At 54.5% G+C, this 23,905-nt stretch overlaps 1 protein-coding gene across 7 annotated transcripts in view, besides 16 other annotated features; it reads left to right on the forward strand.

Moving 5' to 3' along the window:
* The window catches only part of DGKZ (diacylglycerol kinase zeta), a 47,629-nt gene that overhangs the window by 7,653 nt on the left and 16,071 nt on the right, over positions 1-23,905 (forward strand). For 4 of the 7 annotated variants that reach the window (NM_001199266.2, NM_003646.4, NM_001199268.2 and 1 more), the window contains exon 1: positions 6,885-7,242. The exons of 1 other annotated variant lie outside the window; for it this stretch is intronic. In NM_001199266.2, the coding sequence (NP_001186195.1) occupies positions 7,082-7,242 (161 nt within the window). In that variant the 5' untranslated portion in view covers positions 6,885-7,081. Of the gene's footprint in view, positions 1-4,688; positions 5,008-6,884; positions 7,243-21,027; positions 21,129-23,905 lie in introns of those variants that run through there. 2 more of the 7 variants (NM_201533.3, NM_001105540.2) reach the window with 2 other exon arrangements.
* Positions 4,568-4,677: an enhancer, noted in NCBI's record as "active region_4677". NCBI's record gives its function as "activates an Ori minimal core promoter by ATAC-STARR-seq in GM12878 lymphoblastoid cells {active_cell/tissue: GM12878}" and the evidence as "EXISTENCE:reporter gene assay evidence [ECO:0000049][PMID:35858748]".
* Positions 4,568-4,915: a biological region, named in NCBI's record as "Sharpr-MPRA regulatory region 11965".
* Positions 4,621-4,915: an enhancer, noted in NCBI's record as "tiled region #11965; HepG2 Activating non-DNase unmatched - State 8:EnhW". NCBI's record gives its function as "activates a minimal TATA promoter and a strong SV40 promoter by Sharpr-MPRA in HepG2 cells {active_cell/tissue: HepG2}" and the evidence as "EXISTENCE:reporter gene assay evidence [ECO:0000049][PMID:27701403]".
* Positions 5,618-5,687: an enhancer, noted in NCBI's record as "active region_4678". NCBI's record gives its function as "activates an Ori minimal core promoter by ATAC-STARR-seq in GM12878 lymphoblastoid cells {active_cell/tissue: GM12878}" and the evidence as "EXISTENCE:reporter gene assay evidence [ECO:0000049][PMID:35858748]".
* Positions 5,758-5,807: an enhancer, noted in NCBI's record as "active region_4679". NCBI's record gives its function as "activates an Ori minimal core promoter by ATAC-STARR-seq in GM12878 lymphoblastoid cells {active_cell/tissue: GM12878}" and the evidence as "EXISTENCE:reporter gene assay evidence [ECO:0000049][PMID:35858748]".
* Positions 6,592-7,071: a silencer, noted in NCBI's record as "silent region_3303". NCBI's record gives its function as "represses an Ori minimal core promoter by ATAC-STARR-seq in GM12878 lymphoblastoid cells {active_cell/tissue: GM12878}" and the evidence as "EXISTENCE:reporter gene assay evidence [ECO:0000049][PMID:35858748]".
* Positions 7,172-7,221: a silencer, noted in NCBI's record as "silent region_3304". NCBI's record gives its function as "represses an Ori minimal core promoter by ATAC-STARR-seq in GM12878 lymphoblastoid cells {active_cell/tissue: GM12878}" and the evidence as "EXISTENCE:reporter gene assay evidence [ECO:0000049][PMID:35858748]".
* Positions 7,172-7,397: a biological region, named in NCBI's record as "ReSE screen-validated silencer GRCh37_chr11:46369312-46369525".
* Positions 7,184-7,397: a silencer, noted in NCBI's record as "fragment chr11:46369312-46369525 (GRCh37/hg19 assembly coordinates)". NCBI's record gives its function as "represses an EF-1alpha promoter that drives an FKBP-Casp9 reporter gene in an ReSE screen in phorbol 12-myristate 13-acetate-treated (for megakaryocytic differentiation) K562 erythroleukemia cells {active_cell/tissue: K562(+PMA)}" and the evidence as "EXISTENCE:reporter gene assay evidence [ECO:0000049][PMID:32094911]".
* Positions 7,711-8,696: an enhancer, noted in NCBI's record as "H3K27ac-H3K4me1 hESC enhancer chr11:46369839-46370824 (GRCh37/hg19 assembly coordinates)". NCBI's record gives its function as "activates a minimal SCP1, AML or CMV promoter by ChIP-STARR-seq in naive H9 embryonic stem cells {active_cell/tissue: H9 hESC(naive)}" and the evidence as "EXISTENCE:reporter gene assay evidence [ECO:0000049][PMID:30033119]".
* Positions 8,034-8,193: a silencer, noted in NCBI's record as "fragment chr11:46370162-46370321 (GRCh37/hg19 assembly coordinates)". NCBI's record gives its function as "represses an EF-1alpha promoter that drives an FKBP-Casp9 reporter gene in an ReSE screen in phorbol 12-myristate 13-acetate-treated (for megakaryocytic differentiation) K562 erythroleukemia cells {active_cell/tissue: K562(+PMA)}" and the evidence as "EXISTENCE:reporter gene assay evidence [ECO:0000049][PMID:32094911]".
* Positions 11,208-12,062: an enhancer, noted in NCBI's record as "H3K27ac-H3K4me1 hESC enhancer chr11:46373336-46374190 (GRCh37/hg19 assembly coordinates)". NCBI's record gives its function as "activates a minimal SCP1, AML or CMV promoter by ChIP-STARR-seq in primed H9 embryonic stem cells {active_cell/tissue: H9 hESC(primed)}" and the evidence as "EXISTENCE:reporter gene assay evidence [ECO:0000049][PMID:30033119]".
* Positions 11,606-11,675: an enhancer, noted in NCBI's record as "active region_4680". NCBI's record gives its function as "activates an Ori minimal core promoter by ATAC-STARR-seq in GM12878 lymphoblastoid cells {active_cell/tissue: GM12878}" and the evidence as "EXISTENCE:reporter gene assay evidence [ECO:0000049][PMID:35858748]".
* Positions 12,063-12,917: an enhancer, noted in NCBI's record as "H3K27ac-H3K4me1 hESC enhancer chr11:46374191-46375045 (GRCh37/hg19 assembly coordinates)". NCBI's record gives its function as "activates a minimal SCP1, AML or CMV promoter by ChIP-STARR-seq in naive and primed H9 embryonic stem cells {active_cell/tissue: H9 hESC(naive and primed)}" and the evidence as "EXISTENCE:reporter gene assay evidence [ECO:0000049][PMID:30033119]".
* Positions 12,918-13,771: an enhancer, noted in NCBI's record as "H3K27ac-H3K4me1 hESC enhancer chr11:46375046-46375899 (GRCh37/hg19 assembly coordinates)". NCBI's record gives its function as "activates a minimal SCP1, AML or CMV promoter by ChIP-STARR-seq in primed H9 embryonic stem cells {active_cell/tissue: H9 hESC(primed)}" and the evidence as "EXISTENCE:reporter gene assay evidence [ECO:0000049][PMID:30033119]".
* Positions 15,094-15,962: an enhancer, noted in NCBI's record as "H3K27ac-H3K4me1 hESC enhancer chr11:46377222-46378090 (GRCh37/hg19 assembly coordinates)". NCBI's record gives its function as "activates a minimal SCP1, AML or CMV promoter by ChIP-STARR-seq in naive H9 embryonic stem cells {active_cell/tissue: H9 hESC(naive)}" and the evidence as "EXISTENCE:reporter gene assay evidence [ECO:0000049][PMID:30033119]".

Below are 23,905 nucleotides of genomic sequence, written 5' to 3' on the forward strand. Positions count from 1 at the left end.
AGGAGAGGGTCTCCAGCCCCTCCTCCAGGTTTCCTCCTGCTCATGACTTTCGTGAAGCTACCCAAAAGGAACCTAGTCAAATGTCCATCTGTCACTAGCCAGCAGCACCTGCAACCCAGCTCAGACACATCTGTCTCCTCTGTGGGGGCAGAGGCCCAGCACTTCAGCAGGGGCCAGTGATCAGCAGGTGATCCCAGGCTCTGGGTTGCTCCCAAAGGCTTCAGCAGGTGCCCAGATCACAGGCATAGCTAATGGGGAGGCATGCACTTAAACTTCAAAATCCTTGTAGGACAGGCATGGTGGCTCACGCCTGTAATCCCAGAATGTTGGAAGGCCAGGGCGGGCCAATCACTTGAGGCCAGGAGTATGAGACCAGCCTGGGCAACATGGCGAAACCCTGTCTCTACTAAAAATACAAAAATTGCCAGGTGTGGTGGGACATACTTGTAATCCCAGCTACTTAGGAGGCTGAGGCAGGAGAATCGCTTGAACCTGAGAGGCGGAGGTTGCAGTGAGCTGAGATCATGCCACTGCACTCCAGCCAGGGCAACAGAGCAAGGCTCTGTCTCCAAACTCTCCATGTCTCACCATGGCCACTTAGGCAAACAAGAAGCCAGTCTCCCTCCCTCCCTCTGCCCAGCCTTCTGAACACCTGTATTCAACCCATGGCAACTTCCATAGGAAGTCACTGAGCACAAACTCATGTACCCAGCACTGAGCTAGGAGCAACATAAGGTTCAAGAATTTTGTAAGGAAGCAAGACTAAGTGCACAAAAAGTCAGATGATACAGGAATATCATTGGGAACAAAAGTGAGCATCATAGGTAAGGGATCAGCAGGTGGGGTGGAATGCCAGTTCAGGAGAAGTGTTTGACACTTGGTAGATATTTATGAAATATTTGTCGTACAAATGAATGAAGGAATGAATGACCAAAAACTTGGAAATCAGGAAAGAAGATTCAAATGGAACTGTCAGATCTAGAGCAGATCTTAGAAATCATCTGGTCCAACCCAGAGAGGGTAATGACTGGCCCACAGTCACACAGCAAGGGCTGGAGTGTGAACCAATGGACTCCATGTCTGCGGCTCTTTCTACCTTCCCACTTTTGCTGCTTGGGCTGGGTCTGAAGGATGGAGAATGTGATTGGCCAAATACTCAGGGAAGACAACCTAGGAGTGCAACATAGGCAAAGGGAATGGCAGGGGTTAGGGCCACATGTGAAGGGAATGCGAAAAGGGGGAGGAGGGGAGGTTCATTTAGCACCTACTATGAGGCAGGCACTAGCATGGCATGAGCTGAGAGAAAATCTCTGCAGGGAAAGCCTGGACAAAGAGGCGGAAAAGCAAGAACAGCCAGAGAACGTAAGGAGCCGCGAAGGTCAGGCCAAGGAGGCTGGCTGGGCGGGTTTTGACAGCAGAGGATGTCCAGGTCGTGGGTTGAGTGTTTGTTGCCCTGGTACATTTCTTTTCCCCAGCTCCCACTTGCTCATCCAGGCCACAGAAAGTAGAACACCAACCTCTGGGGCCTCAACAAAGCCCAGAATAATTTTCTTACCCAGATTCTTCTTCCTGTGTGTACCTGGGTGGATTCTGAGGGGTCCCCAGCTTCCCAGGGCTGGCACATGTTGTCCTAGGAACTGCCAAGGGCATCCTCCATAGTCCCATGCACCTGTCCCTTCCAGCCGTGTCCTCCCCACCCCACCTGGAAAGCAGAGATGACATTGACAGCGCCAAGGAGTGCAAGTTCAAGGTGGCCCTAGTCTCACAGTCAGGACTGCCCTGCTTCTTGAAGCCTCCAGCCTGCCTGCTTCCCCTCCAGGAGCCCCATTTCCTGCTCTCTGCAGCTCCAGGGCTGCCAGACGCCTCAGATGGAAAACAAGCCCAGCCCCATTTCCTCTGTTTAACTGCTCGAGCTACTTGCAAAATGCCTGCAAGAGGAAGGCAGGGCCCTGCACAGCCTCCTTCCAGAATAGACCTTGGTCTGGTGGACACAGTCTCCGATGAGGCCACAGCATATAGAACCCATCTTGAGGCATTCAGAGATAATGGGTTGGAGAGGAAACGTGGAAAAGTGGGGACTGAGCCTTGGGGGCATTACATGGCCATATCCCCTACCTTAGAGCAGCAATAGGATGTTTTATTTAAGAGCACAGATTCTGGGGCTAGATTCTCACTTCTACCACTTACCAGCTGGGTGACCTTAGACAGGTAAGCTTAGCAGCCCTGTGCCTTGATTTCCCCATCTGTAAAAGGAGGAAAATAAGGCCAGGTGCGGTGGCTCATGCCTGTAATCCCAGGACTTTGGGAGGCCAAGGCGGGCAGATCACTTGAGGTCAGGAATTCAAGACCAGCCTGGTCAACATGGTGAAACTCCGTCTCTACTAAAAATACAAAAATTAGCTGGGCATGGTAGCGCACGCCTGTGATCCAAGCTACTCTGGGGGTTGAGGCACAAGAATCGCTTGAACCTGGGAGGCAGAGGATGTAGTAAGCAGAGATCACGCCACTACACTCCAGCCTGGGTGACAGAGTGAGGCTCAGTCTCAAAAAAAAACAAAAAAAAAGCAAAAAAAGGAGGAAAATAACAAGATCTACCTCCTAGAGTCATTAAGAGGATTCAAAGAGCTACGTTACATATTCAGTAAGATTTTTGGCACAGAAATGTTCAGGAACTATTAGCCATTGTTTTATGATTACTGAGTATTAATTATTAATTGCATAGCATGCATTTATTAAACAAATATTTACTGAAAAATATTATGTTCCCATCATGAGGGACACAAAGGTGATTACAGCACCAGATGGAGGTTTTTAAGGGTCGGGATAGCATCTTGAAGGGTTCTGTAGCATAAATGTTTACTGAACTGAACTGATGCTGTTTCTGTCCTCAAGAAATTCACAGTAACAAACACATATACAACTAAAGAACTAGTTATAGAGCAGGGCGATTAAAGAATGCTTGAGGAAGGTACAGTTTCCTTCCTAGAACCAGTCCTAAGAATAAAGAGTGAATATATGCCCTAGTATTTATTTACCAAATCCTCACAATGGCCTTGAACTCCAGCACAGTTTGGCCTCTGGAGATCTTTCCAGCTCCTAACGCATTCCCCCTGGCTCCCTGTTCTCTGGCCATGCTGGCCTTTTTGCAATTCTCCAGACACAAATACATTCTTTGTTCCATGCCTTTGCTCTGACTCTACTTCCACCTAGAATGCTATTCTCCCAGGTAAGTCACATAGCTCACGCTCCCCATTCATTCAGGTCTGCTCTCAAATATCACCTCCCCAGAGAGGCCCTCCCTGATCCCCTCCCCCTGCCTAAGTCACTCTCATCACTCTTCTCCCTTCCTTTGGCTTCATTTTTCTTTATAGCACATCTTTTTTTTTTTTTAGACAGAGTCTCATTCTGTTGCCCAGGCTAGAGTGCAGTGGTGTGATTTCAGCTTACTGCAAACTCCGCCTCCCGAATTCAAACGATTCTCCTGCCTCAGCCTCCAGAGTAGCTGGGATTACGGATGTCCACCACCACACCCAGCTAGTTTTTGTACTTTTAGTAGACAGGGGGTTTCACCATGTTGGCCAGGCTAGTCTCAAACTCCTGACCTCAAGTAACCCACCAGCCTCAGCCTCCCAATCTTTATGGCACATCTTGTTTGCTGACATTATATTGTACATAGATTGTTTGTTTCCTGAATGTCTTCCCCACTAGAATCTAAGCTCTGTGAGGACAGAGCCCTGCTTCCTTGTTTTTAGAGCTATGTTCTCCGATACGGTGCCTGATGCACAGAAGGCATTCAATAAGTATTTATTGAATGAATTAATTTGTCAACCTTCCTATCTCTTCTTTATTCCTCAGATAACACCATGAGCTCAATTTTTTTTTTTTTTTTTTGGAGACAGTGTCTCACTCTTGTCACCCAGGCTGGAGTGCAGTGGCGCGAACTCGGCTCATCACAACCTCCACCTCCCAGGTTCAAGCGATTCTCCTGCCTCAGCCTCCCAAGTAGCTGTGATTACAGGCACCTGCCACCACGCCGGGCTAATTTTTGTATTTTTAGTAGAAATGGGGTTTCACCATGTTGGCCAGACTGGTCTCAAACTCCTGAGCTCAGGTGATCTGCCCACCTCGGCCTCCCAAAGTGTTGGGATTACAGGTGTGAGCCACCATGCCTGGCCTATTACTCCACTTTACAGATGAGAAAACTGAGGCTCAGAAAATCTCCCTGGCACATGTATTCATTAGTTTATTTGTTTATAGGCTACCTTGTCCCAAAAGTTATTTAGAGGACTCCGAGAGGTTTATGACCTGATCCAGGCCACACAGAGCTGGTAAGAGGCAGAACAGGACACATGCTCATGTCTCCAGGCTCCATCCTCATTGCTCATTTCTCTACACCACCTTCCTGTATGCCCAGCCCTGTGTAAGATGGTATGCTGCACACAGAAGTGCTAGGAAGAGAGCGCTCTTTGAGGGCTGGGCACACCCAGCCATTGTACCTGGTGGTTGTCATAAAGCGGGAGACCTCAGCAGGACCAAGAGTTGAAAATCAGACAGTTTAAATGGAGAGGAAAACCAGACAGGAGCCCAGGTGCAGATTCCAGCCCAAGCAAGCCCCATGGCTGCCTCCTGGCTGCTGGTCTGGGCTTGTCCCCACCTGCCCCTTGCTTTCTTGTGCAGCTCTTCACGGCAGCTGGCCCCAGCCAGCGGAAGGCGCCTATGAGCCCTGAGCCTGTGGTCCTCAGCTTGGGCGGCCAGCGGCCTCTAGCAGGCCCCCCCCTCGACCCCACCCCCGTCAGGAAGTGCCGAAAGAGGAAGAGAGTCGCCGGGCAGGATGAGCGCACCGGGGGCTGGCCACAGTGCCGGGGGAAGCTGCAATGAATCCTCAGCTCTGGGCCCAGTGGAGGCGCTGGGGACGGAAGAAGGGGAGCGGCCGGGGTCACTGAGGCAGATGTGGCGCTACCGCTCCTGGGACGTGCCACAGATCCCATCAGAGGCACCCCAGACACAGTAGGTACAAGGGGTGGCCTGGGAGTGGGCATGGGACCTCTGTCCCTCTATGAGCCTTTTATCTGAGATGGGGGTGACAGAAGTAGGGTCACCCATCTGTCATCCAGCACTCTGCAGAGGCACAGAGTAGGGCAAAGGAGTTATTGGCAGGGTGCAGGGAGCTCTGATGTTTGGACTGTGTGGAGGAACTGAGCTCGAGAGAGGCCAGGAGTTGAGCAAGCTAGCAGTGGGGGGATCTGGGAAGAGGAGCCCCCCCAGGAGTGTGGCACTGGATGCTGGAGATTTCTGACCCAGCTGCAAGGCCTTGTGGAGACTCCGTGGGGTCTTCAGTTGCCTCTGATCTCTTCTCTCAGAGCTTGGAGTAAGAGCCATTGGGAAACTTCCCCAAAAGGACCCATGCACCCCAGAGGCCAGTTGTCAGGCATACTTGGGGATTGATCTGCCCTCCTCCTGGCCACCCTGGCACCAGCTGCTGGCTGGAGGGCTGGAGCCCCACCTCCCTGATCAGACCTTCTCCCAACTTGCAGGAAACTGGGAGAGGGTTCTGGGCCTCGGGGTGCTGGTTCTTCCTCAAAATCACAGGCTTGTCCGCAGGTCACAGCCCTAAGCATTGGCTATTTGCGGCTGACTAAGGCTGGAAAACGGGCTGCCAGAACCCAAGAGGGGAGGATGAAAGCGAAGGTGACACAGGATGTGGCTTGGCAGAGAGGCGTGCACACAGAAGTAGTGGGCAGCTGGTGTGGGCAGCAGGGTGGTAGGGTTTGGGGAGGTGGAAGACCATGCTTCCCAGCTCCTGGCCTCCCTTCGTCAGCCCTGCGGGGGCCATCAGAAACAGCCCCGGTGTGTGTGATGGCTGTGCCCCTACAGGTGACTGCTTGGGTTCCAATTGCTCTCATTTCTGGAGGGGGACGGCCTCGGCTGCATTGTGGGGTGTCTTTGTGTGTGCATGTGAGGTATATTTCTGGATGGGAGTGTGTGCATATGCACACACATACATATGTGTGAGGGATGTGGCAACCGGTAACCATTGTCCTGGGAGTATTTGTATGTAGGAGAAAGGTGTGTGTTCTGTGTGGGCATGTGTGCTTGTGAATGGGAGTGTGGTACCTGTTGTCCTTCTGTGTATTTGTGAGTGTGTAAGGGCTGTGCAGGTGATTCCCGTAGCATATGAGATCTATAGGTTCTGTTGAATACTATGTCAGGAAAATGCGATGTGTTGGGCCTGGGTGAGAAGGTTGGAAACCATTGTGAATAGCTGTGGAAGGATGACTTTGTAGGAGAAACTTGTGAGTTCTTTGTTGGTGTGTGTGCGAGTCATTAAGTGACTTTGGTCACTGAGTGCGAGAGGCTGGGGTGGGAAGTGTTCGTTTAAGTAATGAGTGGGCATAATTGTGTAAGGGATGTGTTTGTTCTGCGTGCATGGGGAGCACTGTGTGACTTTTGTTCCCCTGGGTGCGATTTGGGGGAGCCAAGGAGGTATGGGTGGAGATTGTGAGTGGCTATGAGTAGGGTGTGCGAGAGCGGAGGGGAGGTGGTGACAGCAGCCCTCGCGAGTGTACACTTGTGAGCGTGCAGTTGTTTGGTAGCGGAGGGATCGGGGGAGGAAAGATGCGCGTCTGGATGCGCGCAGTGCGAGTGTGCCAGGCCGGGAGATTCAGTCCCATCCAGGCGGGCCGGGCCGGGCTGGGGGCAGGGCTTTCTGCTGCCCCGCCCATTCGTCGCCCCGCCCCTCGGACCGCCCCAGCGGGCTGCAGCGCAGCGGGCGTCCGGCAGAGGGCGCTGCGGGCCCGGTGCCACCGTGCGGCCGAGGGGGCGTGCTCGGCGGCGGGCAGGCAGCGGCCCGGCCAGCTATGCGGGGTCCTGCGGCCGCGGCTGGCGGCACTTCCTGGAGCGGCGGCGGCAGCGGCTTCCCGGGCACCTGGGCGTGGGGAGCGGGGGCGCGCGGCGCGGGGCGGGCGGAGCGAGCGCGCGCCATGGAGGTGGCGGGCGGCGCGGAGCGGGCGTGCTGAGCCCCGGCCGCCGGCCCGGCATGGGCGTCTCCCGCGGGCCCTCCGCCGGCCGGGGCTAGGGCCGGATGGAGCCGCGGGACGGTAGCCCCGAGGCCCGGAGCAGCGACTCCGAGTCGGCTTCCGCCTCGTCCAGCGGCTCCGAGCGCGACGCCGGTCCCGAGCCGGACAAGGCGCCGCGGCGACTCAACAAGCGGCGCTTCCCGGGGCTGCGGCTCTTCGGGCACAGGTGAGCGGGGCGGCGGCGGGGCAGGCACCGAGGCACCGGCAGGTTACCGCTCCCTCACCGGGGGACATTCCTCGGCCACTGGGGGTCCGGGCCACTTCGGTACTGACACTGAGTCGGGGAGAGGCTGGCACCGGCGGCACGAGCCGTCTTGGCGTGGGCACCCACTGGGAGTCATCCCCCAGGGCCGGGACACGGGCGGGATCGGTCGGCTTGGCACTGTCACCGGGTGGGGGTCATTCCCTGGCACCGGCAGTCTAGTGCGCCTCATGTGTAGTACCGTGGGAGGATCGGCTCCCAACCCTCCAGCAGGAAGATGGAATCACCCCAGCCCCCGGCACAAGCAGGTTGGGCCCCCAGGACTGGTCACCCACGCCTTCTTGGCACTGATAGAACAGGGCCTCTCTGAGCCTCCTGGCACCACTGAGGTGGGGATCACACCGCCCTTTGGACTTTCGTGGGACCAGGTTGCCTACCATCACTGCGTGGCATCTGCAGAACGTAGCCCCGTTGATACCGTCACCACACATGGCTTGTCCCCAAGCTCTGGTCACTGGTTTAATTGTTTAACATGTTAAGCTTCTCCTTGGGGTTGGGGGTGCCTGATCATCTGCCCTACCTTGCTCTTAATTAGCAGAGAGACCCCAGCCCATCCCTCTGCTAGGCAGGCAGCATGTCTCCCTCTACCCTCTTCCAGCCCATGCTGGGAAAGGGATGGGGTGGGCTGGAGTCTGGAATCTGCTGGCTGTTCAAGCTTCATCTTGCCCCCTCCCCCAGCACTCCAAATGTCACCATCTTGTGCCTGTGACAGAGCTTTGACCAGGACTCTAGCGGGGAACCGGGGGGAGAGTGTGGAAAGACTGAGTGCAGGCAGTTCATGGCAAGTGTGCTGCTCTTGGTCGTGAGCCGCTGCCTGCCCTGGTAGCCGTGGTGTAAGGTAAGGGACGTGAGGCCCCAGGAGTACCTGACCTGGCTCCCTGCGCTTCTTCCTGACCGAGCCTTGCCCTTCCCTGGTGGCCAAGGAGCTTGTAGCCAATCAGCCAAGGACCCCAGAGCCACCTCAGACTGAACTCTGACCACTTGGAGTCTGCCCAAGGCCTCCCTCTCACTTTTCTGCAGCTGCCTAGACTTGGTGGCATTCACCCCCACCCCGCCCCTTAGCTTTGCTCTGCCCCTTCCCTGGGTAGACTTTACCCACCAATAACATGGGCGGTTTTCTCCTGTCGTGTGGGCTAGCATACCCGTGATGCTGACTTGTGCCCTCTACCCGTCTCACCCGGGCTAGGGCCCACTCTTTGCACCTGCACTCTGTCTCTGAGCACATGCACAGATCTGAATTCTTACACTGGCAGATGGAGCTCCGTGGGCTCCTGTGTTACCACGCAGGCTTCAATGTCATATAAAACAGAGCAGGGAGTGAAACTTCCAGTAGCTCTGTTTTGTCACCCACAGCCCTGCAAGATGGAGCAGTTTACACCCAGCTCTGCAGGATGTAGCCTCCAGTATTCACAGGCTCCGCAGGGGGAGGGAGGGGCGCCACCAGAGGCTTCCTGTTGCTGCCCACAGGGTATCAAGTGTTGGGTTCTTCTGACCTGTGGCTGTGCCCCTTCTGAAGGGCACAGGTTTGTGGGTATAGGGATGAGCACATTCGGGAGGAAGAACAAGAAACCAGAGAACCAACAGATACCTTTATGTAATTCTCTAAAATAAGCAGGGTAGGTGGTATTCTTCCTTTTGTAAAACAAAAAAAAACCAATTTTTTGTAGAGATGAGATCTCACACAGCATTGCCCAGCCTGGTCTTGAATTCCTGACCTCAAGCAGTCCTCCCACCTCGGACTCCCAAAGTGCTGGGATTATAGGTGTGAGCCACCACACCTGGCCTGTTTCTCCATTTTTATAGATGAAAGAAACACAGTCAGAGGGGATTTGCTCAGAGTCACATAGCAAGGAAGAGGTAGAGATAAGGTTTGAAGTCAAGTTGGTGTGATTCCAAAATCCACATCCCTTTCTCTATACCAGGATCCCAAACGGAACATCACAATGGCCAAGGGAGCTTTAAGAAATACAGATTCCTAGATCTTCCCTTGGCGTGTCTGACCCATCAGGTCTGGAGGTGGGGCCTGGGCATTGTTTGAAGCTTCCCAGGTGATTCTCATGTCCCATCAAGTTTGAGAAGCACAGTAGTCCGTCACGCTGGGGAGTGTAAGTGCTCTTATAGGATGCCTGATGAGAGGAAAGAAAATTCAGCAGCACCTCTGGAAGCATGTAAGGAGTGTCCTTTGTTTGGGAGCACTGTGCTGGGGATAGTGGGGCCTTCAGAAATGAATACATTCAGAGAACCCAGTAGTATCAGGCAGAGAGCAGCAAGGGAAAGCACTTTCTCCTGGCAGGCCTGGGAGCTCACTGGGGCTGGCCTCCTTCCCTTTGACTTGATGGGGCCAAGGGGTGGGTGCTGGGGGCAGACATGTGGAAGGGTGGAATAGTACACCTGCTCTGGGTTCTGCCCCCTCCAATGCTGCTTGGCTGGTCCTGCTACCTTTGTTTGTTTGTTGCAGCCTCAGGTAAAAGTCCTCGAAGCCCCAGCTGAAACCAGCCCTTCATCTTATCCCAGCTCCATGCTAGCTCTTAACCTAGCTCTTGCTTCTCCCCAGTCATCCACCCCATGTCCCCCATCCCGCCCCCTCCCCACCCCACCCACATACACACATCCAGCCTTGGGGTTGAGGGGCCCGACGGGAAGATCAAGGGTAACAACTAGGTTGGCAGTGGCTGCTGAAGCCAGGTGGAGAATTCTGCATGCGGGCCCTGGCTCATGGGGAGAGTTCCATGAACAATTAGCAGTGTCTGCTGTGGGCTTGGCAGGGGGTCTTGATGGCACATGGGCCACATGTTTGCCATCCTGGCCCCTCTGGGTAGGACAGTCTCTGAATGGCAGCCCCTGTGGGGCTGAAAGAGGCTTTTCCTTAAAGTCCATCTCTGCCCCACACAACTGGCGTCATCCTCTCAGAATCGGGGGGTGGCAGCTTGCCATCTCCCTTTTTTTTTTTTTTTAGCTCAGTGAGCCATGATTCTCCCCAGCTTGTGGATTCCTCCCACCCCAACTGCATCCCACCTTACTTCTTGCCGGAACTATCAGTCTCCTCCCTGAGGAGGAGGAGGAGGAGAGGAGGTACAGGCCCCTACTCTGATCCCAGGGTATTTAGTTTTCCTCTACCCTGAGCAGAGGGCAGGCAGGACCTTTCCATTTAAGCTTCTGTTGACCCTAAGGATTGGGCAGCCAGGAGTGGGAGAGAAGTGGACTCTCTCTCCTCCTCCAGGACCCACCGGGAAGGAGGACCCGCTTATCCTCTGGCCTGGTCTCAGCAGCCTGATCCTGGCAGGTCACAGGGCTTCTGGATTAGCTGGTTTTACACCCCAGGGGCATCAGAAATTACCTGGCACCTCACACATGTAGACATAAGGAGCCTTGGCCTCAGAGCCCCTAGGAGCCTGAGCGTCTGTGCCGCCATCCCCTGCCCTTCACGGTGCTCAAAGTCACAAGCTCCCAGAGGGCAGGAGGCACACCTGCAGAACCAGTGTGAGACAATGGGTCCCATTTAGAGGCACTGCCACACGGCCCCAGCGAGCATGGCCCTGAAGTCAGGGCTGCAGAGGGTGCCCAGCGGGTGCCTGAGCAGAAGCAGCCCCTGTTTGAGTTGGTTCTGCAATGAATAGGGAGGGACGTGTTGAGGGACGCCTCTTTTGCAGAGGTGAGAACCCTGTCTATGGTGCCAGGGTGTCTGGGAGCGAAAGGAAACCTCTTTGAGTGGTTTGTCTCACCTGGGCTAATGCTGGGAGCAGCCCAGGTTGCTGTGAGAGGCAGGGACAACCTAGAATCCTTGGGTTCCAGCAAGTTTGGGAAAGAAAAATGGGCCTCAGTGGCCGAGCTGCGTTCATCTCACTGTGTTTGCTCCCCACACAAGGTCAGGTGCCAGAGTATACAGCTGGCCCCTGCTGGGAACCCAGTGTAGAATTCTCACAGTCTCCCTCTGTGCCAAACGCTGTCAGGGGAGGGAATGACAATTCTTGTCATTTTGTCTCCATGCCATACTCCAAAAAGGTCAGATCCTGGGATGTGGAGCTGCCCAGGATTCTCGGTTGGCACAGGAGCTTGAGAGTTGGTGTCCCCTCAGGCAAGGACAGAGGAAGGACTAAGTGACCCCTGGTGAGAGAAAGCTGAGGCTCCAGGCAGCTGGGCTGGGGGAGAGTGAGAGAAACGGGCCTGCCCTCCTCGGCTCCCTGGAGGCCTCTCCAGAATTCGCCAGTGGCCCCCCCGGGGCAGAGGTGAAAGTGGAGTCATAGGTTAGCCCTGAGTCTTAGGCCGCGCGGGCCCCTCGGAGAAGCAGGGATCCGGAGCCCTTCCACCCACTTTAAGGCAGGAGAGAATTGGGAGGTGTGGAAGCAGCCCCTGGAGGCTGCCCTGCAGTGCCTCTGGAGCGACACAAGGGGGCGACAGCTGCCGTTGTGGGAGGCCGGTGGGCGAGGAGCTTCTCCTTCCGCCAGTCCACAGGCCCACGGGGACCCACAGGCACTCGCTGGAAGTTACCTGCAGCTCTAGCTGCCGGGCGGAGCCAATCAGTGCGGCCCAGGGCAGGCTGGGTGGGTGCCTCTAGCCTCCTGGCCCCACCCCTCCCGTCCCCTGAGGCCCAGGCCCAGCCAGGTGGCCTTGACTCAGCCAAGTTCTCGCAGCTAGCCGGGGTCATCTGGGACTCCCGCGCTGGGCTTCCAGGGCCATGTTCATTAAGGCCTCATCACAGGACCCAGGACAGGCTGACCACCTCTCCTCCCTGCCCCCTCTGCCTCCTCCTTGAACAGCCCTCTAAGTCAGCTGCGGGGGCAGTGTGTGCAGGAAGCGGGATCTGCCACACCTGCGGCCAGGTTCTTCCGCTCCCCGAGTTCCTGGGCCACCCCTGAGCGGTGCCAGGCACTCATTCCTTGCTCTTCTTGGCTCTCCTCTGTTCCGTGTCGGGGTCAGCCCCACATCCAGCCTGCAGTGTGGGTTTCAGCACAGGACTTGGCTGGCACTTGGGTCACAGGTGTGGAGGGTAGGCCAAAACTAACCAAATGCCCTGGAAGAGCTATCATTCTGCCATCTTTCCTCTTCACCCCCTGCCTCGCTGAAACACCAGAGACGTGGTTAGGTCGGGAAAGCAGGTTCGAGTGAGACCAAGGGCTCTGTGGCCGCGGAGGGGAGGGAGAGGCTGAAGAGACAGGAGTGGCGTTCCAGCTCCTCTGTCTTTGGTGATTAACAGCTGCCAGAAGCTTGTAAATTCATCAGTTTCATGTGATCTTCATAACATCTTTGTAGTTGGTTTGATTCCCATTTTGCAGATAAGAAAACCAAGGCTCAGAAAGGTCAGGGGCCTGGCCAGGATCCCCCAGCTCACACTGGAGCCCAGCCCAATGATCTTCTCATGACATTGGGCCACTCTACTTAGGAGTACTCTTTTCTTCTATTATTTGCCATCCCTAAACTGGGAAGACCTAAGAAGAGGTTTGAGTGCTCCATGGGGTTTAGTGAAAGGTCTTTGCCTCCGGTGCCAACGGTGTGAGACCCATGAGATAATCTGACCTGGACCCCCAAGGGAGAATGGCCACCAAGATCCCTCAAGTCAGGGGAGCAGGCTGGACTGGGAGAGACCCTTGGTAAAGAGACTGGGGCTGTGAGCCCGTCATCATGTGGCGTCCGGGCTGGGTCTGGCGTGGAGGACAAGTCTGATCTTTTTCCTTGCTTTAAGGGCGCAGGGAGTCTAAAGCCCAATGGACATGCTCAGAGGAGCCCCCATACCACCCAGGGGTCGGTGGCTGGTCTGGGGCAGGGAAGATCGCTTCACTCGTACCCAGTGCCTCATGGTGAGAGGTCTGAGAGGAGAGGGAGGGCCCCAGCATCCTCCTCATCTACACTGAGACCTCCTCCCCTTGCTCCTGGCAGAGCATCAGTTCAGAGCTCCCACGTAGAGGCCTCTCCCCTGCCAGGGATGAGCCCATCTCAGCACATGCCAAAATAGCTGTCTGGGAGCCTGGGCCCGCACCGCCCACACCCCAGCATCTCGCGGGTTAACAGCTTGCCTGTCTCTCCGCCCCCTTCCCCAGCTTGCTGACATTTTACAGAGAGAGGCGGGGGCGGTTGTGAAAGGGGGCAAGCTGGTTCTTGCTCCCCAACCCACACGGACACCCCACTGACACAGCCTGCCACCACCCACCCACCTCTGGAAGGCATCCCCTTGGGGGAGACCTTCCTTCCATCCTGAGGGCCCTGAAAGGGTGAGGGACAGGCTGCCAAAACCATCCCTGGTAGACCCAGGGAGCTCTAGGGGGCTGGTCTCCCTCAAGGGGTCTTTTGTAGGACACAGGATCTCCCTCTGTCACCCAGGCTGGAGTGCAGTGGCACAATCATAGCTCACTGTAATTTCAAACCCCTAGGCTCAAGCAATCCTTCCACCTCAGCCTCCCGAGTAGCTAGGACTATAGGTGGGGGCCCCCATACCGGGCTCATTTTTTCTTTCTTTCTTTCTTTTGTAGAGACGAGGTCCTGCTATGTTGCCCAGGTTGGTCTCGAACTCCTGGCCTTAAGTGATCCTCCCACCTTGGCCTCCTGAGTTGCTGAGATTACAGGCCTGAGCCACTGTGCCCAGCCTCTGGAGTCTTTTTAAGAAATGATTTTGAAATCTTTCTAAACACATTAAATATCTTGGCGTTAGAAAAGTGTGCAGAATAAGGTGACACCTACTGCCTAGCTTGGTTGGAGCTTAGCATTAGGCCATATTTGCTTTAGATAGAGATGGAGGCCCCTGTGTCTTACTCCCTGGAGGAAACCACAATTCTGATTTTGGTGTGTGTGATGTTCTTGTGCCTGTTTTTAAAATTGTCCTACATAGGTATTCATGCCTAGCAACATACAGTGCTGTTTCGTATGATTTTACTCTGGTTTAAATGGTATACCAGGCATATTCTGCATTTAGGTTTTTCCCTCAATATTGTTTTGGAGATTTAACCATCCTAAACATGAATTCTCACGGATCCATTTTAACCTCCACGTCCGATTCCATTGTGTAACAGCAGCTTATTTGCCCAGGCTCTGTTGACGGACACTTGGGTGGTGTGCAGTTTTTCGCTATTGCAAGCGATCCCTCTGTGTTCTCTCCACCAGTGCTTGCTCACAGGGTCTGTGTATTTTCAGCTTAGACAGATGTTGCCAAATTGTGCTCCGAAGTAGTTGTCCTAATTTTTAGGCCTCTGTGTTTATTTTTTTATTTTATTTTATTTTTTTGAGACAGAGTCTCACTCTCGCCCAGGCTAGAGTGCAGTGGTGCGATCTCGGCTCACTGCCAGCTCTGCCTCCCGGGTTCAGGCCATTCTCCTGCCTCAGCCTCCCAAGTAGCTGGGACTACAGGCGCCCGCCACCACGCCCGGCTAATTTTTTGTATTTTTAGTAGAGACGGGGTTTCGCCATGTTAGCCAGGATGGTCTCGATCTCCCGACCTCGTGATCCGCCCGCCTCAGCCTCCCAAAGTGCTGGGATTACAGGCATGAGCCACCGCGCCCGGCTATTTTCTTTCTTAAAACTTTCAGTAAACTGGGGAATTGTTTCCCAGGAACAAACACTTTCTCCTTCAAGCCTGCAACACTCCCTTGAGAGAGACGAGGGTGGGCATTAGCCCTATTTATCAGATCAGGAAACTGAGGCTGAGGCAGGTTAAAAGGCTTAGCTTGAGGTCATGTAGCTGGTCAGAGGCAGATCCTCTGGGCCTTTGAAGCTAAACCTACTGTGAAGGCCTTTGTCCCCTGTGTGAGTAGTGTGGAAGCCTGGAGAGTGGGGTGGGGCCCTGGGGGCTGATGGGGGAGGGAGCAACATGGTCAGAAAGTTGAGGGGGGAGGTGTTAAATTTTTTTTTTTTCTTTTTTTGAGATGGAGTTTTGCTCTTGTTGCCCAGGTTGGAGCGCAATGGCGCGGTCTCGGCTCACCGCAACCCCTGCCTCTGAGGTTCAAGCGATTCACCTGCCTCAGCCTCCCAAGTAGCTGGGATTACAGGCATGGGCCACCACACCCGGCTAATTTTGTATTTTTAGTAGAGATGGAGTTTCTCCATGTTGGTCAAGCTGGTCTCGAGCTCCTGACCTCAGGTGATCTGCCCGCCTCAGCCTCCCAAAGTGCTGGGATTACAGGCATGAGCCACCCGCCCGGCCAGGGTGTTAATATTGAATGAGGGGTGAGGGGGAAATGCTTCTCCCAGCAGATGGGGAATGGGAGCCCTCTGCAGACACAGGAGAAGACAAGGATGGGACGGTCACCAGAGAAGAGTGGGGGCCCGCGAGGGGTTTATAACAAAGGGGCCCCTTTGGGAGGCTAAGGGAGATATATTGGCATTCCCATCAGGGATCGGTTTCAGTGTTGCCTCTGAGACACCAGAGCTCAGCCCAGACCAGACTTGTCCACCCAGTGCAGCAGGAAGTTCTCGGGAGCTGGCCCACTCCTGGGGCTCTGTGCCCACCTGAAGCCTGTGCTGTCAGCGGGATCCATGAGGCTGAGTCCAGACCATGCGCTGTTCCCTCCACTCACTCTTCAAACCACACCCAGCACTTCTACACTCTGGGGATGCCATTAGAAGCAATGTGAGGCCCTGGGGCTCACAGCCTGTCCGGGGATGCAGATTTGCACATTAGTGCTGATTGCCCAGGGTCTGAGAGGAAAACCATGAGGGAGAATTCACTGAGTAGAGAGGGGAGTGGTATTCCAGGTAGGGAGACCACCGGATGCCACGTGGTGCCACGTGGAAAAGGGACCCGCGGTGTTTTGTTTGCCAGAAGCATCCAGGGTGGAGCCTGAGGGGTCGAGGGTATGTGCCATGGAACACACTACTGAGTTCAAACCCCAGCACTGCCACATGTTAGCTGGACGACTTCAGGCAAATGACTTAACCGCTTTGTCTCTCAGTTTCCTCATCTGCAATATGAGGATACGGGCCATGGGGATAAGAATACCAACTATTCTTAGGAGGATTCGTAGCTTAATATTTGTAAAAACACTTAGAGTAGTGTCTGGTGGAGTGAGTTATGTAAGTGTCAAATACAGCATTAAAAATATGAAAGAGCAGAGAGGAGGCTGGGAGGCCTGTTGCCTGCCAGCCCCAGGTCTTTGCATTTTGCTCAGCTGACAGTAGAGTCAGTAAAAGGTGATTGGGTGCTTTAGGATGAATTCTGATGGCAGCGGGAGTCTGGCTTGGAGGGAGGCACTAAAGGAATGGGTTGGTCATTTGTTGCGCAAACATCTCTTTGAGGCCTAGCAGGGGCTGAGTCAGGGACTCGGATGTGAAAGAAGAGACTGGGGGTATTTCACCAAGGAGCTCAGGCCAGCTTAGGATCCCCGCCTAGCCCCCAAGCCTCTGAGACAGCCCCTCCTCCCCTTTCCTTGCCCACCACCCTCCCCTTGTGACTTCATGTCACCAAACCGACTATCTAGTTTTCATGAGAAAGCCATGGAGAACATGGAGCGGGCGATAGCATCCAGCCCAGAAAGGGGCCTCCAGGTGTCACTCTTGGGGTCCTCTAGAGAGGAGAGGAAGGTGGCCACCCAAACCAAGGCTGTTGCCATCCCCTTGTACCCAACAAAGAGAAGTGGCCTGAGCCAGCTGGAGCCTGTGGTCAGCCGTTGCATGTGGTTACACAAGGTGGAAGAAGCCTTTCTCCTCCCTTAAGGTGCTGGCCCCTCCCCTGTGGAATTCCCTGTTCTTTCCTCCTGCACTGATCAGCAGTAAATGCTGGACTCACTGCCAGGCACCATGCCGGGCATGCCCAGATGCGCTAGACCTGGCCCCGGCCCCCCAGGAGCTCGCGGTCTGGTGGAGGAGCAGGCATGTGGGCTGAAAGAAGCAGGCCTCCCAGGGCTCTAGTGGCAGGGGAGCCAAATGGGCAGTGCGGAGCTGTGAGTAGGAGGGGTGTTCCGTTGGCTGTGAGCAGGCAGCTGCTTATCAGGTAGAGAGGGAGGCCAGTATTCGGGGCAGAAGGTGTGCCAGGTGCGGCGGCACAGCAGTAAGTCAGGCACAGCCAGATTGGGGCACAGAGAATAGGCTGGCTTGGTTAGAACTAAGGCTTCGTGTCACAGTACAGGAGGCTTAGTGCCACACCGCAGGAGCCACGTCTGCCAGGGTGGAGAAGGCAGATTCACTCTGAATCAGTGGTCTTAAAAAGTATGGTCCTGGGGGTGCCCTGACCCATTTCAGGGATTTGATAAAGTCAAAACTATTTTCAGAGATACCCTGGTTCCTGCCTTTTTTTTGCTGTGCTGATGGCACAAAAGCAGTGGTGGGTAAAACTGCTAGCCCCTCAACGCGAATCTAGGCAGGGGCCCCAACATCAGAGTCCTTACTCCATACATACATTTCTTTAAAAGTAGTGAAGATCATTAATTTTATAAAGTCTAGACCCTTGTGTACCTATATCTTCTGATATTTTACATGAAGGAATATGAAATATATATAAGGCACCTTTGCTGCAAACCAAACTGTGATGAGGAAAAGCTCTTAACTCGATGCAGTTGTAAGCTGTACTAGATGCTTTTTTTTTTAAGAACACCATTTGTACTTGGACACCTGATAGACAAACTAGTCAGATGTAGGTATTTGGCAGACATTTTCTCAAAAGTGCATGACATGAGCTTGTCATTTCCAAAACAGTGTCATTATTTGTTGCCAGGCACAGGCCACCATGGCTCATATCTGTAATCCTATCACTTTGGGAGGCCAAGGCAGGAGGATCACTTGAGCCCACGGGTTAAAGACCAGCTTGGGCAACATAGTGAGACCTCATCTCTACATATATTTTTTAAAAATAAGTAATAAAATATTTGTTGCCAATGATAAAATTTGAGCTTTTGAGCAAAAATGAGAATTTTGGAAACCTTTTATTCACTTCCTAGAGCCTGACGGCTTCCTCAGGCTTAAAATTTTTCTGATGAGATCAGTAGTGAAGTTAGTGTGATTTTTGGTATTGTATAATAACATGTGGGCCAGGTGTGGAGGCTCACACCTGTAATCCCAGCACTTTGGGAGGCTGAGGCGGGCAGATCACCTGAGGTCAGGAGTTTGAGAGCAGCCTGGCCAACATGGTGAAACCCCATCTCTACTAAAAATACAAAAATTAGCTGGATATGGTGGTGCACACCTGTAATCCCAGCAACTCGGGAGGCTGAGGCAGGAGAATCACTTGAGCCTGGGAGGAGGTTGCAGTGAACTGAGATCGCAACACTGCACTCCAGCCTGGGCGACAGAGCAAGACTGTATCTCAAAAAAAAAATAATAAAATAAGGCCAGGTGCTGTGAATCATGCCTGTAATCCCAGCACTTTGGGAGGCCAAGGCGGGCGGATCACGAGGTCAGGAGTTCGAGGTCAGCCTGGCCAACATGGTGAAACCCCGTCTCTACTAAAAATACAAAAAAAAATTAGCTGGGCATGGTGGCCCATGCCTGTAATCCCAGCTAGTCAGGAGGCTGAGACAGGAGAGTCACTTGAGCCTGGGAGGCTGGGGTTGCAGTGAGCTGAGATTGCGCCATTGCACTCCAGCCTGGGCGATAAGAGCCAGACTCCATCTCAAAAATAAAATAAAATAAAATGTGTCACCATTTGGAAGATCTGCATAACTCAGTAAACCAGTATTTTCCAATGACTGGTGCTTGATGTTACAAAATTCAAAATGCAAGGTAGTCCAGTGGAAAGTTCATTGACGTGGTTTTATATTTATATTTATTTATATTTATTTATTTATTTTGAGATGGAGTCTCGCTCTGTGGCCAAGGCTGGAGTGCAGTGGCGTGATCTCGGCTCACTGCAGCCTCCGCTTCCCAGGTTCAAGCGATTCTCCTGCCTCAGCCTCCCGAGTAGCTGGGATTACAGGCACCTGCCATCATGCCCGGCTAATTTTTTTTTTTTTTTTTTTGTATTGTTAGTAGAGACGGGGTTTTGCCATGTTGGCCAGACTGGTCTCGAACTCCTGACCTCAGTTGATCCGCCCACCTCGGCCTCCCAAAATGCTGGGATTACAGGCGTGAACCACTGTGCCCGGCCTGATACGGTTTTAGATTCCACATTGCAACTAACCTTTGAGAAACTGTCATTTGTCATATTTTGGTGTAGTAGCAAAGAAAATCTATAATTACCTGGAAAGGCTGTTAAAGATATTCCTTCTTTTTGTAACTACATGTCTGTGTGAGGCAGAATTTTCTTCATATACTTCAACCAAAACAACATGTCACAACAGATTGAATGCAGGGATAGACAGGAGAATCCAGCTGCCTTCTATTAGGCCAGATGTTAAAGAGATTTGCAAAAAATGTAAAATGATGCCACTCTTTTTGCTAACTTTTTTTTAGAAAATTATTTATAAAAGTGTTGTTTATATTAACGTAATGGGCTTATTGTTTTAAGCTAGTAAGTATCTTAAACATTTCTCAGTTTTAACATCTGATATGATACATATTAATAGCTGTCACCCCCTAAAACAAAACTCTTTTGGGATCTTCACCAATTTTGAGAGTGTAAAGGGGTCTGGGAGCTTTCAAGTTGCTGAACACATGGAGGTTCCTGGAGGATGGTGTGCCCAGGGAGGGCGTGGAAGCTCCTCGCCCCTTTCCTCATCAAAAAAAAAAAAAAAAAGGCTGGGTGCGGTGGCTCATGCCTGTAATCCTAGCACTTTGGGAGGCCGAGGTGGGCGGATCACGAGGTCAGGAGTTCGAGACCAGCCTGGCCAACATGGTGAAACCCCGTCTCTACTAAAAATACAAAAATTAGCTGGGCATGGTGGCAGGTGCCTGTAATCCCAGCTACTCGGGAAGCTGGGCCAGGAGAATCATCTGAACCCGGGAGGCGGAGGTTGCAGTGAGCTGAGATCACGCCATTGCACTCCAGCCTGGGTGACAGGGCAAGACTCCATCTCAAAGAAAAAAAAAAAGAGTTTAAAGAGGTCTTGGGATCAGGCAGTTGGACAGCTGCCACTCCAGACCCTAGGGTACCATGTCAGGACTGGGAGTTGGGGGGGTGGCATTCCAGTCAGGATACATATAACACAGACTGGTGTCTTCTGGGCGTTCCTTAGCTTGGCAGAGCCAGAAGACCCAGAAGCTGGAGTCCCAGCTCAACCAAATCGGAGTTGTGGGCAGTCACGGGCTTCCACAAGCCTCGAGTTGCCCCATCTATTCAGTGGGACAGTAGTGCTGTCTGCACAGGGGAAATACCAGCCTCCCGTTTGTAATGCTGGTGAAAAGTACTTTGTAAGTTGTGAAACACTCCACAGATACTTATTTTTGTGATTGTTTTGTCTGGAGCCGGTGTGATTAGCTTCCCCAGACCTCAGAAAACCTGTCCAGTGGGCGTGAGAAGGCATTAGGTGGCTAAATAGGGGGCATTAGTGGGGGGCCCCCTCCCTAAAAGGGCCTGGCTCCCACTTCTCCCTCCTTAGACCTCGTTCCCAAGCTGAGGCATGGGCTGGGCTGTACTGGGTGCCAGGTGGAAGGGAGGCCACTGGGTTGTCACCCAGCCTGGCTCTGGGAACCTTGGGAAAAGGAGCTGGGAGGCACGCTCGTGCGCTGTGTGCCCGTCCGCCCACCCGTCGCCTGCTGCAGGGCCTGGAGCCGCTGCTGGGAGAGGAAGTGCGTTCAGTTACCAATCGGGTTATTTTCATAACGGCTGTCTCAGGCTGCAGGGAGGAGGGTGACAAGGGGGAGGGGGCAGAGGAGCAGCCACGGCTGCTAGCTCTCCAAACTAGGACTTGCTCAGCAGAGGCCGCCAGCCCGGAGCTGGATCCAGAGCCCGGCCTTGGGGACCCCAGCTCCCACCTGCGCCCTGCCTTCCAGATCAGGTCAAAAGGGGCCCCCAGCCCCTCCTTGCTTTCTGCTTCCTCCCTCTGTATCTGGCTGGGTGGGTGCGGGGAGGGTTGGATCCGGGCGGACCCGGGCCCCACCATCCCTAGGCAAGGAGCCTGCCCTGCCAGGTTCCTGAAGCTGATGGAAAAGGGTCCCCCCGAGCTCCTGCTGAGCCAGGGCAGACCCTGCCGACTAAACACTCACTGGCCTGGTCGCCTTCTTACCATCCAGCCTGGCCCACCTGCTCCCCGAGGTACATTTTGTTTGTTGTTTTTGACAGGATCCCTGTGGTGAGTCTCAGCCTGGGGAAGGGAGGAGGACTCTGCCTCCCCAGCCCCTAGGCTGACTGGGGAGGGACTGGCCTCCCTTCCAGCTTCCCCACCTCCTTCCCTCCAACCCAGGTCTGTGGGAGCAGAGCCGAGGGGGTTCTGGGGAGGCAGCTGCAGGCCCTTGCTCTGGGGCTGCTGGAGGTGGGGTCGCCATGCACCATGCCCAGCCTTCACGGAGCAGAAGGCGGACGAGGCCCTGCCCAGGGTGTGGAGTGGGCGCTCTGGGTCAGTCCCATGGGGTATCCTGTGAGAGCAACTCAGGGGGCCAGGCCTGGTACCGGGTGCAGAGGGCATTCCTCATGGCACGAGCAGATACCCAGGTGACACCTGTGGCCGGCTCTGTTCCTCATGCGGTGGGTGGTGGCCACCCTGGGCACTCCTGCTTCCCTTTCTGGGTTCCTGGCCTCACTGTGGGCAGACAGACCCCAGGAGGTAGCACAATCACATGCTCTGGTGTCTATGGTGGGTGTAGGCCCTGCCAGGCCCTGCTGTCTGCCAGGTATCACCAGGCACTCTCTCTCTGTCATCGCATCCAGACCTCCTTTAGGCCAATCTTCTGAACCAGGTGGTGTGAGCTCCATTTTGCAGATGAGAAAATTGAGGCTCAGAAAGGTTAGTGGATCAGTCTAGGGTGGCAGTGGCAGATTCAGGATGCCAACGCCCTTGAAACTAGCACAGGGCGTGAGATGGCCTGGGCTCTGGAGGGTGGGTGTCCTGTCCGCTCCAGCTGTAGCTGATGAAGCTCTCCGGCCTGCCTGCCCCGATAGCAGCCACTGCAGCTCGGCCACCTGCAGCCACAGCCACTGTCCAGCAAGGGTGCACGGCCAGACACCAATGGTCTTGTCTCCTGACTTCCTCTGTCCTTTCCCAGGCCCTGTCCTTGTCAGGCCCCAGAGCCGGCCAAGGGTTGATGGGGTCCCCTGAGTCCTTTCCCATCCTGTCCCCATTGGTGTAACAGGCTCCCCACCCGGAGACCGAGGGACAGCCATTTTGCTGTGCTCTTGGTGTTGAAGCCCTCAGGGTGACCTTTACACGTACTGTGTGGCGAGGTGGAGGTGACCAAGAGCACGAGGTGAGAAGACACTGTCACGCAGAGCTGCGCTATGGGAGAGGCTTAGGCCCAGGGCGGGCTCCAACAAGGCCCAGGAGAAGCCCCAGCAGAGATAGGAAGTGAGGAGTCAGGCTCTTGCTGACCAGGGACAGAGGTTTCTATGGAGACCAGAGGAACAGGAAACTCAGGCCTGCGGGGAGGGGCATGGGAGCACGGAGGCATGGGTGCCCAGCAGGAGAGCCTGTGACAAATTGTCAGCTCAGCCACTCTGACAGCCTCCCCAGACACACAGGGAAACTGAGGCCCGTGAGGGGCCAACTTGCACACAGTCACACAGCACTGCCGGCCTTGCCCACCCCACTCTGCTGGGAGGGGCGGCATCATCGGCCGCCGAGGAGACTCCTGGACAGATGTGGACCTGGGCTGCCTGGCAGTGTGTGGAGCCGGGCACCACAGGAGCTCCTGTAAGCCGCCCTTGTCTCTCGAGGGGGTCCTGGCCCCTGTTGTCAGTGCAGGTCTGGGGCCGCAAGCTGGGCTCAGCCCTCACCGCTGCCCACGGGTGCAGCGGCACCTCCCCCCACTGACTGTGGCCTTTTGTTTTCTGGGTGACAGTAGCATCAGGCGGTGTGTCCGGGTGACTAATCTCCTCCAGGCTGGGCAGCTGTCACAGGGCGGCCTGACCAGGCAGGCAGGAAAGCTGACACCCTGGGGAGGGCTGGCAGGCCGGTGCCCTGACGGCAGGGGGCAGTTGGGCCTTCAGGCTCCTCTTCCCCTGACACAAAGCAGGCCCCAGGTCGGGAAGACCCGGGTTCAGGTCCCGAATGCCGCTGACTGGCCGTGGGACTGTGGCATGTTACTGGCCCTCTTGAAGCCTCAGTTTCCCCATCTCTAGAATGGAGCTGCAGGTCCTGCTTACCTCACAGGGCTGTGGTGAGGATTACACGAGATGATAAAGTACTTAGCCCAGGGCCTGTCACGTAGCAGGTGTTCGTTATTATTCCCTATCTGGTTCCCTTTCCTACCCCATCCCAGCCTCATGTTCCAGGAGGAAGGACCCTGCAACCCACCCCATTTCTGGGACGCAGGCTTTGCCGTTAGGTAGACTTGGACTCCAGCACTGACTCCACACTGACTTGCCGTGGACTCTAGGCGGTCACCTCTGCGTCAACTTCCTCATCAGGAATGCAGTGTGATGCAGTACCTATTCCTTGGGGTTGCAGTTTATGAAATGATCTAAGTGTTTGTCAGGGGCTTAGCACAGTGCCTGACACATAGGGGCTCAGTAAATGTCAGCCGTGACACTGGTGATTTTGGGGGAGACCCAGCGCTCTCCACCCATGCCTGCTGTCCTGCCCCTGCAGCTCCCTCCGGCCCAGGTGGTCTGCTTTGAGTG

This window comes from Homo sapiens, chromosome 11 (genome assembly GCF_000001405.40).
Source record: "Homo sapiens chromosome 11, GRCh38.p14 Primary Assembly".
NCBI lineage: Eukaryota > Metazoa > Chordata > Mammalia > Primates > Hominidae > Homo > Homo sapiens.